Source organism: Homo sapiens, chromosome 2 (assembly GCF_000001405.40).
Source record: "Homo sapiens chromosome 2, GRCh38.p14 Primary Assembly".
In the NCBI taxonomy this organism is placed as follows: Eukaryota; Metazoa; Chordata; class Mammalia; order Primates; family Hominidae; genus Homo; species Homo sapiens.
Genome location: NC_000002.12, coordinates 137673858 through 137689561, shown reverse-complemented (window position 1 = coordinate 137689561; position 15704 = coordinate 137673858). Strand labels below are relative to the sequence as shown.

The 15704-nt window shown below is 39.7% G+C and overlaps 1 protein-coding gene across 2 annotated transcripts in view; it reads right to left on the bottom strand.

Annotated features, from left to right (window-relative positions):
- Positions 1–11843: 11843 nt before the first annotated feature.
- Positions 11844–15704, bottom strand: part of THSD7B (thrombospondin type 1 domain containing 7B) — a 912174-nt gene continuing 908313 nt past the window's right edge. For both annotated transcript variants that reach the window (NM_001316349.2, XM_047445935.1), the window contains exon 28: positions 11844–13038. In NM_001316349.2, coding sequence (NP_001303278.1) covers positions 12957–13038 — 82 coding nt within the window. In that variant the 3' untranslated portion in view covers positions 11844–12956. The remainder of the gene's footprint in view (positions 13039–15704) is intronic.

The following is a 15704-nucleotide window of genomic DNA, read 5'->3' as shown; positions in this document are numbered from 1 at the left end:
TGGGTGACATATACAAACTCTTGGACCAAGATGAACAATAAATTAAAAATAAGACAAAACAAAACAAAAGAACCTCAAAATTTAGGAACTGAATCATTTACCAAACAAAAGATAAGTAGGAAGCTAGTGAATATGTTCTGGGATCATTGCCTGAGTCCAGAGGATTTTTGATGGATTGTTTATCGGACAGTCATTGCTTGCCTGTGCATTTGTCTGGCATGAAAGTATAGCACCAATTGGGACATGCTAGCTTTTTGCATCTTAATCTGTAAGCCCATGTTTTGCTAGTGAGTAGGATGGTAATAGACTCTGAAGACAGTTTTCAGCTTACCTGGAAAAGCTAATTATTTATGGTAATGTAAACCTATCAACCATTGACTGAGTAGAGCTGTGACGGCCTACAACCAGGTGAAGTAATTTTACTGTCTTGGTGACCATCAGCATGACACAACATTTGATGGAAACCATATCACTGTTACATTAAGGCATCCAAATGTATTTTTACAGCATGGTTTTCTCTTGTTTTAAGTATGTTATTATAAGTCATTTTACAGCATCTAGCAATCCACTATCCTGCCCTGTTGCTCCTGTATTTCACAAGTGAATGTCTTCCTTAAAATAGCCATAATATTTTCTTTGCTTCCAGCCCCCAGGGAACAGTATGTTTTAATTAACATATACATTACACAAATATCTGCTCATCTTAGTTTTCTGCACAAAAGGGATTGAAATTTGTTCCACCAAAGAAGTAAAGTCAACATGCTCAGAGGGCACATTGCAGGTATATTAGCATTTCAGAGGCACAAGTGTCATAACTGGTTTAACTAAACAAAGCTATAATGTACATTTCAGAAAACTGCCAGGGAGAAAAATCAATTCTGCATTTGAGTTGAACTCAAATTGTCAGGCCTCTGAGCCCAAGCTAAGCCATCATATCCCCTGTGACCTGCACGTACACATCCAGATGGCCGGTTCCTGCCTTAACTGATGACATTCCACCACAAAAGAAGTGAAAATGTCCTGTTCCTGCCTTAACTGATGACATTGTCCTGTGAAATTCCTTCTCCTGGCTCATCCTGGCTCAAAAACTCCCCTACTGAGCACCTTGTGACCCCCATTCTGCCCGCCAGAGAACAACCCCCCTTTGACTGTAATTTTCCTTTATCTACCCAAATCCTATAAAATGGCCCCACCCTTATTTCCCTTCGCTCTCTTTTCAGACTCAGCCCACCTGCACCCAGGTGAAATAAACAGCTTTATTGCTCACACAAAGCCTGTTTGGTGGTCTCTTCACACAGACGCGCATGAAATTTGGTGCCGTGACTCAGATCGGGGGACCTCCCTTTGGAGATCAATCCCCTGTCCTCCTGTTCTTTGCTCCGTGAGAAAGATCCACCTACGACCTCAGGTCCTCAGACCGACCAGCCCAAGAAACATCTCACCAATTTCAAATCCGGTAAGTGGCCTCTTTTTACTCTCTTCTCCAACTTCCTTCACTATCCCTCAACCTCTTTCTCCTTTCAGTCTTGGAGCCACACTTCAATCTCTCCCTTCTCTTAATTTCAATTCCTTTCATTTTCTAGTAGAGACAAAGGAGACACGTTTTATCTGTGGACCCAAAACTCCAGCACTGGTCACGGACTGGGAAGGCAGCCTTCCCTTGGTGTTTAATCATTTCAGGGATGCCTCTCTGAATATTCACCCACGTTTCAGAGGTGTCAGACCATGCATGGACACCTGCCTTAGTCCTTCACCCTTAGCAAGTCCCGCTTTTCTGGGGGAGGGGCAAGTACCCAACCCCTTCTCTCCATGTCTCTACCCCTTCTCCGCTTTTCTGGGAGACGGGCAAGAACCCCTCAACCCCTTCTCCTTCACCCTTAGTGGCAAGTTCCACTTTTCTAGGGGGCAAGAATCCCCAATCCCTTATTTCCGCACCCCAACCTCTTATCTCTGCACCCCAATCCCTTATTTCTGTGCCCCGACCTCTTATCTCTGTGCCCCGATCCCTTATTTCTGCACCCCGACCCCTTTCCCACTTTTCTGGAAGGTAAGAACCCCCGAACCCCTTCCCTCTGTGTCTCTACTCTCTCTTTTCTCTGGGCTTGCCTCCTTCACTATAGGCAACCTTCCACCCTCCATTCCTCCGTCTCCCTTAGCCTGTGCTCTCAAGAACTTAAAACCTCTTCAACTCACACCTGACCTAAAACCTAAATGCCTTATTTTCTTCTTCAATGCTGCTTGACCCCAATACAAACTCTCGACAGTGGTTCCAAATAGCCAGAAAATGGCACTTTCAATGTTTCCATCCTGCAAGATCTAAATAATTCTTGTTGTAAAATAGGCAAACGGTCTGAGGTGCCTGACATCCAGGCATTTTTACACATCTGTCCCTCCCTAGTCTCTGTGCCCAGTGCAACTCGTCCCAAATCTTCCTTCTTTCCCTCCCACCTGTTCCCTCAGTCCCAACCCCAAGCTTTGCTGAGTCTTTCTAATCTTCCTTTTCTACAGACCCATCTGACCTCTCCCCTCCTCCCCAGGCTGCTCCTCGCCAGGCCGAGCTAGTTCCCAATTCTTCCTCAGCCTCGGCTCCTCCACCCTATAATCTTTTTATTACCTCCCCTCCTCACACCTGGTCCGGTTTACAGTCTCATTCCATGAGTAGCCCTCCCCCACCTGCCCAGCAATTTCCTCTTAAAAAGGTGGCTGAAGCTAAAGGCATAGTTAAGGTTAATGCTCCTTTATCAGACCTCTCCCAAATCAGTGGCGTTTAGGGTGTTTCATCAAATATGAAAAACCCAGCCCAGTTCATGGCTCGTTTGGCAGCAACTCTGAGACGCTTTACAGCCCTAGACCCTAAAAAGTCAAAAGGCGGTCTTATTCTCAATATACATTTTATTACCCAATCCACTCCTGACATTAAATAAAACTCCAAAAATTAAATTCCAGCCCTCAAACCCCACAAAAGGACTTAATTAACCTCGCCTTCAAGGTGTACAATAATAGAGTAGAGGCAGCCAAGTAGCAATGTATTTCTGAGTTGCAATTACTTGTCTCCACTGTGAGACAAACCCCAGCCACATCTCCAGCACACAAGAACTCCAAATGCCCGAACCGCAGCTGCCAGGTGTTCCTCCGGAACCTCCTCCCCCAGGAGCTTGCTACAAGTGCCAGAAATCTGGCCACTGGGCCAAGGAATGCCCACAGCCCAGGATTCCTCCTAAGCCACATCCCATCTGTGTAGGACCCCACTGAAAATCAGACTGTTAAACTCACCTGGCAGCCACTCCCAGAGCCCCTGGAACTCCGGCCCAAGGCTCTCTGACTGACTCCTTCCCAGATCTTCTCGGCTTAGCGGCTGAAGACTGACACTGCCCGATCGCCTCAGAAGCCCCCTAGACCATCACGGACGCCGAGCTTTGAGTAACTCTCACAGTGGAAAGTAAGTCCGTCCCCTTCTTAATCAATACGGAGGCTACCCACTCCACATTACTTGCTTTTCAAAGGCCTGTTTCCCTTGCTTCCATAACTGTTGCGCATATTGACAGCCAGGCTTCTAAACCTCTTAAAACTCCCCAACTCTGGTGCCAACTTAGACAATACTATTTTAAGCACTCCTTTTTAGTTATCTCCACCTGCCCAGTTCCCTTATTAGGCTGAGACACTTTAACTGAATTATCTGCTTCCCTGACTATTCCTAGGCTACAGCCACACCTCATTGCTGCCTTTTCCCCCAGTTCAAATCCTCCTTCACATCCTCCCCTTGTATCTCCCCACCTTAACCCACAACTACGACACCTCTACTCCCTCCTTAGCGACCGATCATGCACCCCTTACCATCCCATTAAAACTTAATCACGCTTACCTCGCTCAATGCCAATATCCCATCCCACAGCATGCTTTAAAAAGATTAAAGCCTGTTATCACTCTCCTGTTACAGCATGGCCTTTTAAAGCCTATAAACTCTTCTTACAATTCCCCCATTTTACCTGTCCTAAAACCAGACAAGGCTTACAGGTTAGTTCAGAATCTGCGTCTTATCAACCAAATTGTTTTGCCTATCCACCCCATAGTGCCAAACCCATATACTCTCCTATCCTCAATACCTCCCTCTACAACCCATTATTCTGTTCTGGATCTCAAACATGCTTTCTTTACTATTCCTTTGCACCCTTCATCCCAGCCTCTCTTTGCTTTCACTTAGACTGACCCTGACACCCATTAGGCTCAGCAAATTACCTGGGCTGTACTGCGGCAGGGCTTCACAGACAGCCCCCATTACTTCAGTCAAGCCCAAATTTCATCCTCATCTGTTACCTATCTCAGCAAAATTCTCATAAAAACACACGTGCTCTCCCAGCTGATCGTGTCCGATTAATCTCCCAAACCTCAATCCCTTACAAAACAACAACTCCTTTCCTTCCTAGGCATGGTTAGTGCGGTCAGAATTCTTACACAAGAGCCAGGACCGCACCCTGTAGCCTTTCTGTCCAAACAAATTGACCTTACTGTTTTAGCCTAGCCCTCATGTCTGCGTGAAGCGGCTGCTGCTGCTTTAATACTTTTAGAGGCCCTAAAAATCACAAACTATGCTCAACTCACTCTCTACAGTTCTCATCACTTCCAAAATCTACTTTATTCTTCCCACCTGACGCATATACTTTCTGCCCCCGGGCTCCTTCAGCTATACTCACTCTTTGTTAAGTCCTACAATTACCATTATTCCAGGCCTGGACTTCAATCCGGCCTCCCACATTATTCCTGATACCACACCTGACCCCCATGACTGTATCTCTCTGATCCACCTGACATTCACCCCATTTCCCCATATTTCCTTCTTTCCTGTTCCTCACCTTGATCATGCTTGATTTATTGATGGCAGTTCCACCAGGCCTAATCGCCACACACCAGCAAAGGCAGGCTATGCTATAGTACAAGCTACTAGCCCGCCTCTTAGAACCTCTCATTTTCTTTCCATCATGGAAATCAATCCTCAAGGAAATAACTTCTCAGTGTTCCATCTGCTATTCTACTACTCCTCAGGGATTATTCAGGCCCCCTCCCTTCCCTACACATCAAGCTGAAGGATTTGCCCCCACCCAGGACTGGCAAATTAGCTTTACTCAACACTCCCCGAGTCAGATAACTAAAATACCTCTTAGTCTAGGTAGACACTTTCACTCTCTTCACACAGACGTGCATGAAACAAATAAATCCAGGACTATGCGTCTGCATTCTGCATATCCCTGCTGGGATTTCTACAAATTATTTGCAATAAAAATTTGTTTAGAGAGAGGCATATATTTGCCATTTTTCTTCAACAGAAAGGTCTGTTCTTAGAAATTTATGGAAATAACTTGTATCTTCAAAAGTGACTACTGTTGACCTTCTATTTTTCAATTTTTATTTAGGTACAATTATTAAAATTTTAAGCTTTGATTATAAATTTATTCATTGTAGGAGATGGACTAAGTAAATTGGTACTGGCATATATAGTCTAGTGTCAGATTCATCAATGGTAGTGAATATTAAGTCATGTATATATTTAGTGTTTCTATAATTGATAACAGATTGGTTTGTAAGGTAAATCTGATAAGTTAAGGAATTGGTATTACTATTTAGTATTTAAAAACGCATTTTTTTGTACTTTTCCAAATCTTAGGATGAGGCAAGATGATGGTGTGCTGTCACTGTATTCGAATTACACAATGCACATGAAAAGTCAATAAATTAAAATTTTATACTTAAAGTCATTCCCAGTTTAAAGAATAGAATCAACAAAATATAGTTTCTGAGTAAAAAATAAATTTATAGGACTTGAACTTTGTTTTCTTTAAGCTATTGTTTATTTGCTGCTCTAGCTTCAGGTAAAACATTCTTATTCATTATTTAAAATATAAAATATGATAAATTCAACTTATAAAATTAAAAAAAGTTCAAGCAGCTACCCCAAATTATCAAACTAACTATGAAGACCATCAGGACTGTAGCATCACACAGCTCCTGTTGGAATCATTCACACAGACCAAACTGAGAATGGAAACCCCTGTTGTGCAATAAGGGATGTAAGTGGTGGTCTGTGGTTCTGGGAAAAGCCCTGCAGCCTCTATGAGGGCTGTGAATGCTTTTCTTTTCCTTTGTGTCAAGTACACAAAAAGGAGGACTTGAAATTTCACCCACTTTCTAATGTGCTCAGAACTTTCCCCCTTCTCCCTCTCATTGACAGCACTTGGAGCAGCCTGAGTAAGTACTTCATACTCAGTATCTACCAAAGGTGATTCACCTTGCTGTCCAACCTGTCTAGTTATTTTGTCCAAAGGAAGATACAGTACAGAGCCATTAAAAGGAACTACCCTCTTATTCTGTTAAAATGAAAGATGGGAACAATAACTAAGAATTCTTCAGTGGCCCTGCATGGAGCATGACCATATGTCCACATTTGCCATTATGACCAAATCTACAAGATCTTAGTTTGCAATGTGACACACAGCCATTTTTCACCTTGATTAGGCTACAAGATGGGAGCCATATCCTGTCTGTTGGTTAGAAGATTAATCCCCCAAGTAGTTTCAGGCCTATTCTAGTTGATTTGTTACAATTTACTGATGAAATCATATTCCAAAGTAACTAACCACATCTGTAAAATAAGAATTATAAATTACTTTTTGCCTAATGTAGTGAGATGGAACTTATTAACTCAGAGTGGTCTTAGATCTTTTCTTGTTAATCTTGAATTTAGTTCCCCTGAAGAAATATACACACACACACACCTGTAACTATACATACACATATATGTAATCTCAGAAATATTAGTCATGAATAAACCTTTTATAAATTGCTTTTTGTGGCAATGGCCTTAGATTCTTTCAACTTTTGATAAAATAATCAGCAGCTGAAGGTGTCTCTACATCCTTTACTCCTATTTCTTCAATTTCTCTACAACTTCTTGCCATGTTCTATCTGTCGTTCCAACTGCATGTTTCCTTGTTACTTTTTGTTAAATATCAATATGCTTATGTTAAAAAGGTGTAAATGAACAGTGTTTAGGTAAAGGGTCTGATAATAGAAAACTTGGTGGGGAGAGGGCATAATATTCCATTTTAAGGAAATTTCCCATAAAAATTATATCTATACAGAATTTATTTATGAGGGGTGAGTAACCACACTCACAGAAAAGCCCTTTAACTGTGCCCTTTGTGCTTTTAAACATTCAGCAAATCAATAATGCTTGATAGAGAGATATTTAGAGATTTGAGTAATAAGTTGAAGCTGCAGTTTTAGGAAGCAAAATAACAACAAAATGAGACTCATGAAGTTTTTCAGCCCTGAAATGAAAAACAAGCTCATGGAAAAAATTGACATTGATATCTAAAATGTTGGCCATTTAGAGACACCACTCTTATTGGCTATGTATCAAAGCTCTCTTTGAGATTGCATCTACCATATTTTAAATTTATGAGAAAAACACAGCAAAACATAGCATCCATCAGACATGGTATGAACTACTAGCTTGAAGTAGTTCATATTTCATGACACTACATTTCTCTCAATGATGCCACATCTTTGTTAACTTAGATTTTCATTGATTGCTCTGATAAAAAGTGCACAGAAATCAATATGAAATTGGTAATGAAGGTGATAGTATCAAAATAGATTCCAAAATTTGAGAAGTTCCAGGAGCATAAATCGACTTTGGCTCCTAATGACTTGGTAATTGTAATTTAAAAATAAAATAAAAATATTACTTTTTATTTATGCCTGTATTTTTCCTAAAGGCTACTACATTCTTAAGACATAAATTAAGTTGTTTGGACCTAACTATTCATAAGCAGAATAGTTAAACGTTGCTTTCGGTCAATTACTGAGACACAAAGGATCTGTGGATCAAGAAAGTTTGGGGATCTCTGAATCACACAATTTTGTTGTTTGACATTGTTCAATCATTTGAATCTGTTGATTTTGCTTTAAGAATAATCATAAAAGGCCAAGTGACATTCTAGGAAGTTTTTTTTGGTGTGCGTGTGTGTGTGTGTAATTCCTATATTCTGTGACTAAATAGTCCCCAGTTCCCTAGTCTCTATCTATAAGTGAATTGAGGCAGAGTTTTCTTAATTAGGTAGTTGGGTAGCATATACTGCTTTTTACACCTCCTCCTTCTGGAGTGAGAGTGATGAGGCTGCTCCATGGTAGACATAGGATAAAAACTCTTTGGTAGGAAGACTGCCAATATAATGGATCATGAGGTGTTGATGAAAAGGCATTTGATGCTGTTTGATGAAAAAAATTGATACAACTGTTTGGTATCTCATTCCTAGATCAATCTAAGAATGTTAAAATGTTGTCACCCTGGTTCTTATCACAAAGAATGTGGACATTCAGTTGAATCTTTGGGGCAACATTGTCTAGCCAATTATCAGCTACTTAGCCCTCTATCCTTGTCAGAAAGTCTTTACTCTCCAATGTGCAACTCAAACTCCTATTATTCCTAAGCCCTACTTTAATCCCCTAGATGCAATTATCAAGCCTTCTTTTCTGCACCTATCCATATCATTGTTTCTTATTGTTTATATGTGCTTTCCCTAGTTTGTAAATTTATTAAAAATAGGAATATTCTCAGGAAACCATTGTCAAGTTGTTCCAATGAGCCTCCTACTTCTATAAATAATTACAAACTTAATGATTTTTCTTCTCTTTTGAAAAACAAGTTATCATTAATAAATTATGATCGTTGCCCATTGCAGGAGCTTAATCTTATGGAATGCATAGAAAATGATACTAATTCTATAAAATCTGAGGGTAAATGGGTGTGGCCATGACTGACTAAGATACTGACTGGCTTTGGTCACCCCCAAGGTGAAGAGGAATCAATATTCCAGCACATCTGAAACCCACTTCTGGCATACCTATGTACTCAGCATATTAGTTGATTAAGTGAGTTTTATCATGCTTTGGTTACACTAACAGCATTATATAAATTTCACAGAAGAAAACTCACAAGCATTATAACAAATGTAATACATAAGCTTGTAAAATTCCTGTAAGATCTCTCTGTCCCAAAATAATTGAGCTTGATGTTTAATGTTGTTATTAAAGAACTATGCAGAGCTTGGCATTAAAACCATTTCTCCCCGGGGCCTCTGCCCACAGGGGAATCTTCTGAGGTGAAGTGGTTGAATGCTAGTCTTTTGAGATTCCATTACTATGATCATTTCTCATTCATGCAGTATTTGCTGGACTAATACGTAGCACAGACCAAGCACACAGGTAAATCGACCTGTCTAATCCGGGGTAAGGAGTGTAGGAAGTCATGAGGCTGTGGTGCCACGGATCATATCATGTTTAAAACACCTTTGTGGCTGTTATTCAGAATAAAATACAAATTCTTCACCATGGCTTCCGTGGTTGCATGCTGTAATTCCTCTAGCCTCATTCAATCACTCTACAAATATTCATTGAGTATTCCAAACATTTGGGATACATATGTGAGCTAAATTAAGATCCTTGCCCTCATGGTGTTAACATCTAAATGCAAGGAAAAAATAGACAAACTATAAAATAAATATGTATAGTAAATAGAATGTTAGAAGTAATCAGGCTATGAAAAAAATAAGAAGAAACTGGGGAGAAGAAACTAGGTTGAGAGAACCAGTAGGAAAGGGGTCAGCAGTTCTTTTCTGTAGAGAGCCAGATAATACTTAGGCTTTGCAGGCCATACAATCTCTATCGCAACTACTCATTCATTAATGTATTGTCTACAGCTGCCTTCCCAGAGTTGAGTAGTTGCAATAGAGATTGTTTGGCCTGTAAGGCCTAAATATACGATGTATATTTGTTTAATCAATGAGAGTGAATGCCATTTCTAAAGACTGCAGTCAACATTCAGTTCCAGCAAATTACCATGAAGGATTGAGGTATTTGTTATCAGATTGTGTAAGTTTTCTTTTTTCTTTTTTTCTTTTTTTTTTTTTGAGACGGAGTCTTGCTCTGTCACCCAGGCTGGAGTGCAGTGGCGCGATCTCGGCTCACTGCAAGCTCCGCCTCCCGGGTTCACGCCATTCTCCTGCCTCAGCCTCCCGAGTAGCTGGGACTACAGGCGCCCGCCACCACGCCCAGCTGATTTTTTGTACTTTTGGTAGAGACGGGGTTTCACCGTGTTAGCCAGATGGTCTCGATCTCCTGACCTCGTGATCCGCCCGTCTCGGCCTCCCAAAGTGCTGGGATTACAGGAGTGAGCCACCGCGCCCGGACCAGATTGTGTAAGTTTTCAAGAGAACCTAGAACTCCAAATTTTTATGTAAAAGCTCTCAATTTTAAATGACTTTAATTCGAAAACAAAAACCCTTTGCATATGAAACTGAATCTTTCTGCAAGCTAGTTTTCTGGTATTTCTACTATATACATTCACAGGGTAAATCGGTTGGTGTCTGTGAGTCTGTTTTCTACACTGCGCAGTGTGGAAACTGACTTAGGTGGCTTGTTAAAGTCAATGGCTAGTTAGTTAGTAGCAGTACCAGGCACAAACTGACTTCTTCTGATCTCCTCCTTTTATCCTCTGCCTATAAGCACTACACATGTTAAAACCATTTGTCCTGTAGGAGCAATATGCTGTCCTAAGGAAGTGTTCATAGACTTCATGTATAAACTTTTGAAATCTATATCAGTTTATGGAATATACATAGTTTTTTACTCATATTTTTTTACTTGGCTTTCCTCCTGAGGAGTAATCGTCCCAAATCTTTGGGTCTGTCTGGCATAATTTTCAAGTAAAGTAAAAGTCAGAAGGGATCACATTTCATTCAACAGTGCACCTCTGAGCACTGTGCCTAACCAATGGTAGATGTTTAATATATATGATTTGCTTAAATGAATGAAAGACATATGTAGTGATATTGATATTTGGGAACTGGATGTAACTGAAATAATATTTTGGGCATGTATTATTGGAAAAGCAATTTTATTCAAGCCATGAGTACTAAAAGTCTAATATTATTGACACAAATTAAATATATGGATAATTGTTGAATCTGTAATGAATGAAAAACTTGAATGACCTAAGGGTCCTAACTCTGAATATACAATACTAATTAATTGTGGATAATATTTATTGCACTTTTGATATGTGGTGAATATTAAGGATTTTACATTTATTATTAGTGTCTAACTTTAGAGGAACATAATTTTATTATCTTCATTTTGTGGGTCAAACAACTGAGGCACAGAAAAGTTACATTCCTGGTCCGGGGTCACACAGGCAATAAAGGGCCTAGCCATGGTTTGATCTCCAAAGCAGCCTTTCTTAAACTACTAAGAAGGCTACTGATGCTTTAGCTAAAGTGAACTTTTGAAAGCACAATTCTGGGAATTGTTTTCTCAAGTATACTAGTAAAATAAAGTAAAGTATTCTCTTTTTGCTTTCTTATTTTAAAATTATGGTATATCATTGCACACAATCAGCTAGTTGGAGGGCTTACCTAGGTGTTAAATGGTTAATAGAGGTTACAGTGTAAATGAAAACATCCTTTAATCTGGTCGTTGTGTCACATTTCTAACATTTCCATTTTCTTCCTTCTCTCACATCATTTACATATCAGTGTTTGCATGATTACAGCGGTTTTTTCTAATATTATTTGAGCTCTAAATGTTCCCTAAAAGCTACTCTATGTCATTGTGACTGGCGCTGTTTCCTAGTATGCCTGATAGTGTGGAGGGGTAAGATTCCTTTTTTTGTTTTTGTCAGTGATAGCAGCTGTCAACCCCCAAAACACTGAAAAACTGATATTAATACTGTTTTTGTCAAAGCAAGGGCAAGGCACTTCAGAAGTGAATAAATCTAGAACAGCCAACACTGCAGTCTCTTGAGCAGTTTATTTGTTATAAATACAAGTCAATACCACAAGATGGCACCTTTTTACTTTCAACACCTATGATTACAAACAATTATCTTCATAAAATGGTCTCAGCTTTTTAATGTGTTGTTTTAGATATTATTGAAACCTTATAAAAGCAAGACTTTGTACAAACAGGATCGGTGTTTGATGTATATTAAATGAGGTCAGATAATTAAATTTGAAAGAAGAATTTATAAATATTCAGATAAGAAAATTGAAATTACAAAAGCAGAGTTTGTCATCATTAAACTGAATTACAACTGTGTGTGGTTAATGCTATATCTACATGGATAAGTTTTTGTTAAAATACAGTTTTAGTAATCAAATAATCTACCTCATTCTCCAATTTAACCACATATTTCATTTGTACACTCTAACATTCAGTACACATTCCCTTCAGAAATGACCTAGCTTTCATCTAGTCCAGCAATTACACACACGCTGCTATTTTCAGTAGCTGCAACCCATGAAGCGCCATCATCCCCTGGCTACAAAACAAAATACAATATTTAAAGGTTAAAAACTCAGAGAATTTCTGAAATGGTAATCCATTCTCTCTGTGTTCATGAAAAATAGGCAATCCAATTTGAAAGTCTTTAAACCAAAGTAAACTCTAGAAAACTCAGTGTTGAAGTATGGGAAGAATAAAGACTTTGCACTAATATAGTGCGTAACAATGCAGTGTCAGACTCGTCATTTAGAGTAAATGCCTTGACTGTATTTTCCTCTGGATTGTCATTATGCTGCTGAAGATCAAGTTTACTCAAGTCTGTGGGAATTCCATCATGTTTTCTTCCTCCCAGTTCCAAACAGGAAGAGAAGGGTTTTCAGGTCCCTTGGGAAAACCAAAAAAATAAAACACACCCACAAACAACTTGAAAACAAAATGGCAGACCTAATAATCCTTGACTCCATGTCCAAATGAAGTTGAGGCAATATTACTTTTGCAATATTTGTATTCTGCCCAATATATCACATCTTGAGATTCCTCAAAAAACTGAGAAGTCTGAGAGCTACAAAAGAGAAAGCGGTTAAGGCAGTTGATGTCTACATTTGGATTTCTTTTTCAGATTACATGTCTAAGTCTCCATCGTAGGCTAAGGTCAGAGGCTTCTGTTGGGGAGGTGTGCTTTGATGTGGTTTTGGCTTCTTGCTGCAAAGGGAAAAAAATTCCTCAGATCAAGTAAGTTCATAGAGCTCTGTTTCATCTGCCAAAGACAATTTTGAGATACAGAAATTTAAGCGGTAAAATGACAAAAAGATTCATTTCTCTAGATGTGTGGGTTCCCTTTTGTGAATATTGAATGCTTTCACCCTCTGTTTGTTAAGGAGAAGCCATCATTTTTCACAATCTTAAAATTGGTTTAGTGGAATGAAGGAACTTAGTAGAAGAGTTGTTTTCCTTTTATATTCTTGATGATACACAACAACAGGAACGTCTTTTCTCACTAATTTTTAAGCTATTGTGACCTTCACATCACAGATGCTCAACATCATAAGCAGCTGGAGCAGCCAGGCCTCACCCTGCTGGTCTTGTTTTTAAGTAAACACACTTCTGCTCTGACCTGGAACCTGACATTTAGCTGCCAAGATGCCAGAGTGTGTCAGGAAAATTTAACCAATTCTACTCCGTGCAAAGCCATTCTCACCTGGTCTCTGCTTTACCTGAAGTCCACAACTTTGCCAGGTCAGAGAAGGCTGCTTTTCCTTCTCATGGAGAGAAAAGCTTAAGTTAACAACATTCCCAAATCACACAGTGATGCCCAAGATATGGGGCAAAACACCCTGCAGTACACTTCTTGTTTCTTAGTATGGGGAAATCTTAACTTGTATTTATAAATGCTTGTAACCTTTAATTCTGCCACTTAACTTCTCTCACCACCACACTTATCCTCTCTCCTCAAGGTCTTTGCTTTGCCCTGCCCACACAGCCCGGCTTCATCTCTCTCCCTGTCTCCAACCTTCCATGCTTTTATATTATATTAGCATCTATTGCTTATTCGATGCATACTAAGTGCCAAGATCTGTGCTGAATGTTTTACACAAAATCTCTCAAAACATCCCAGAACAACCCTGCAAGGGAGGCATTAGAATTATTGCTACTTTACAGAGAAGGACTACCAAGGCTGTTTACCTTCCCTTAGGTCACTGAGTGAGTGGCAGAACCTGAATTCTAAGCAAATCTAACACACAGACCTGAGCTTTTAACCTTTTCACCACACTGTCCGCATATATATATATATATATATATATATATATATATATATATATATGGCATTCATTTAGCACTTGGTAGAAATGACATTTTTTGTCTGCACATATGAATTAATTTTTGTATTCTGAGTGAATCTAACGTAAAAAACAAAGATTTTAATCTATACAATTCAGTGGCATTTGGCAGTCACAGCATGTGTACCATCACCATTATCTAGCTCCAGAACATTTTCATCGTGCCAAAAGGCAACTCTGCACTCTTCCAAGCAGTCCCTCCCCCATTTCACCCTGCTCTCAGCCCCTGGTAGCCATTCATCAATTAACTTTCTGCCCAAATAGATTTTGATATCTTAAATGGAATCATGCTGTATCTGGTCTATTGTGTCTGGCTTCTTACACTTAATGGCTAAAATTGTGAATTTTATGTTATGTGAATTTTACTGCAATAAAAAGTTGATAAAATTAAAATGGTTGTAGGGAGAAACTCCTAGTTTAAAATGCTCAAGTTTTAATTTGAGGAGTAAAATTATTTTTTTGATTGATGTTTGAAGCAAATCATACAAGTTAAAGAAATAAATTAAAAATGGTTTTGGCAGAAACCCTAAAAGGAACTGCAGATTCTCTCAGTGCCCCCCACCCTAGCACCTGGCATGCAGCGGGTGCTCATTGAGAATATGCTGAGTGCTGGGCAGAGATGGCTGCAGGCAAACAACTTCCAACCAGAGAAGCTGCGGAGATGCAAAAACAAGATTCAGAATATTCTCCAGAGGGAGCTTCAGCCTTCAATTTCCTGCTTTCCAGGTCCTCTCCAATTTTCAAAAGGGTATTGCTTAATTATCTGAATAACATTCAATTTAACTTTATCTATACTAAGTATGTTCCAGTGACTCTAATTATACTGATGGGCTCAGGCTCTGGCATGAACCCCACTTGACATGGAGTCCTGGGTATACCATTCCACAGCATTTAAAGGTGCTAAGAAATCATGCACACACCAGAGGGTGAGGCAATCTGAAAGTGACAGCCTGTAAAACCTGATGGTGGTGGTGGTGATGGGGTGGGTTGTCTTAATGGCAAAAAAGAGTACAAGGAAGTTCATCTGAAATTACAGTAGGAGTCTTCTCCCTCCCACCTCTCTTGGTTTTCTTTTTTCTGCGGGAAGGGAGCAAAGAAGAAGAGAGGGGTAAGAAATGTAGTTGCTTCCAAAACAGAGATTTTGGCAGTCTACCTTTAATGGGCATTTGCTAAAGGCCACTGGGCAAGGAGAAATTAGACAATCCTAAGCATTGGGGAGTTGAGAATGCAAAGCCAGGAGAACGGCTAGAGGTGGTCATATCTCTATAAAGAGACAATACTATCACCTGGGAGACACGTCAACTTGGCCAGCCTCTATGATCTAGGCTTGGAATATTCTATTCAAAATTTACACAAATATGTTTATACCACTTACCATGTTTGGAATCACGGACACTGTGGCCAGCGGGGGCTACTAATAGGTAGGCCTTGGACCTTTGTGGGCCATGTGGTGTGCTGGGGATCATTGGGATTAGGACCTCATTTATCAAGCATCTTTTCATATTGTGCAACCTCCCAATTGCCAGACAC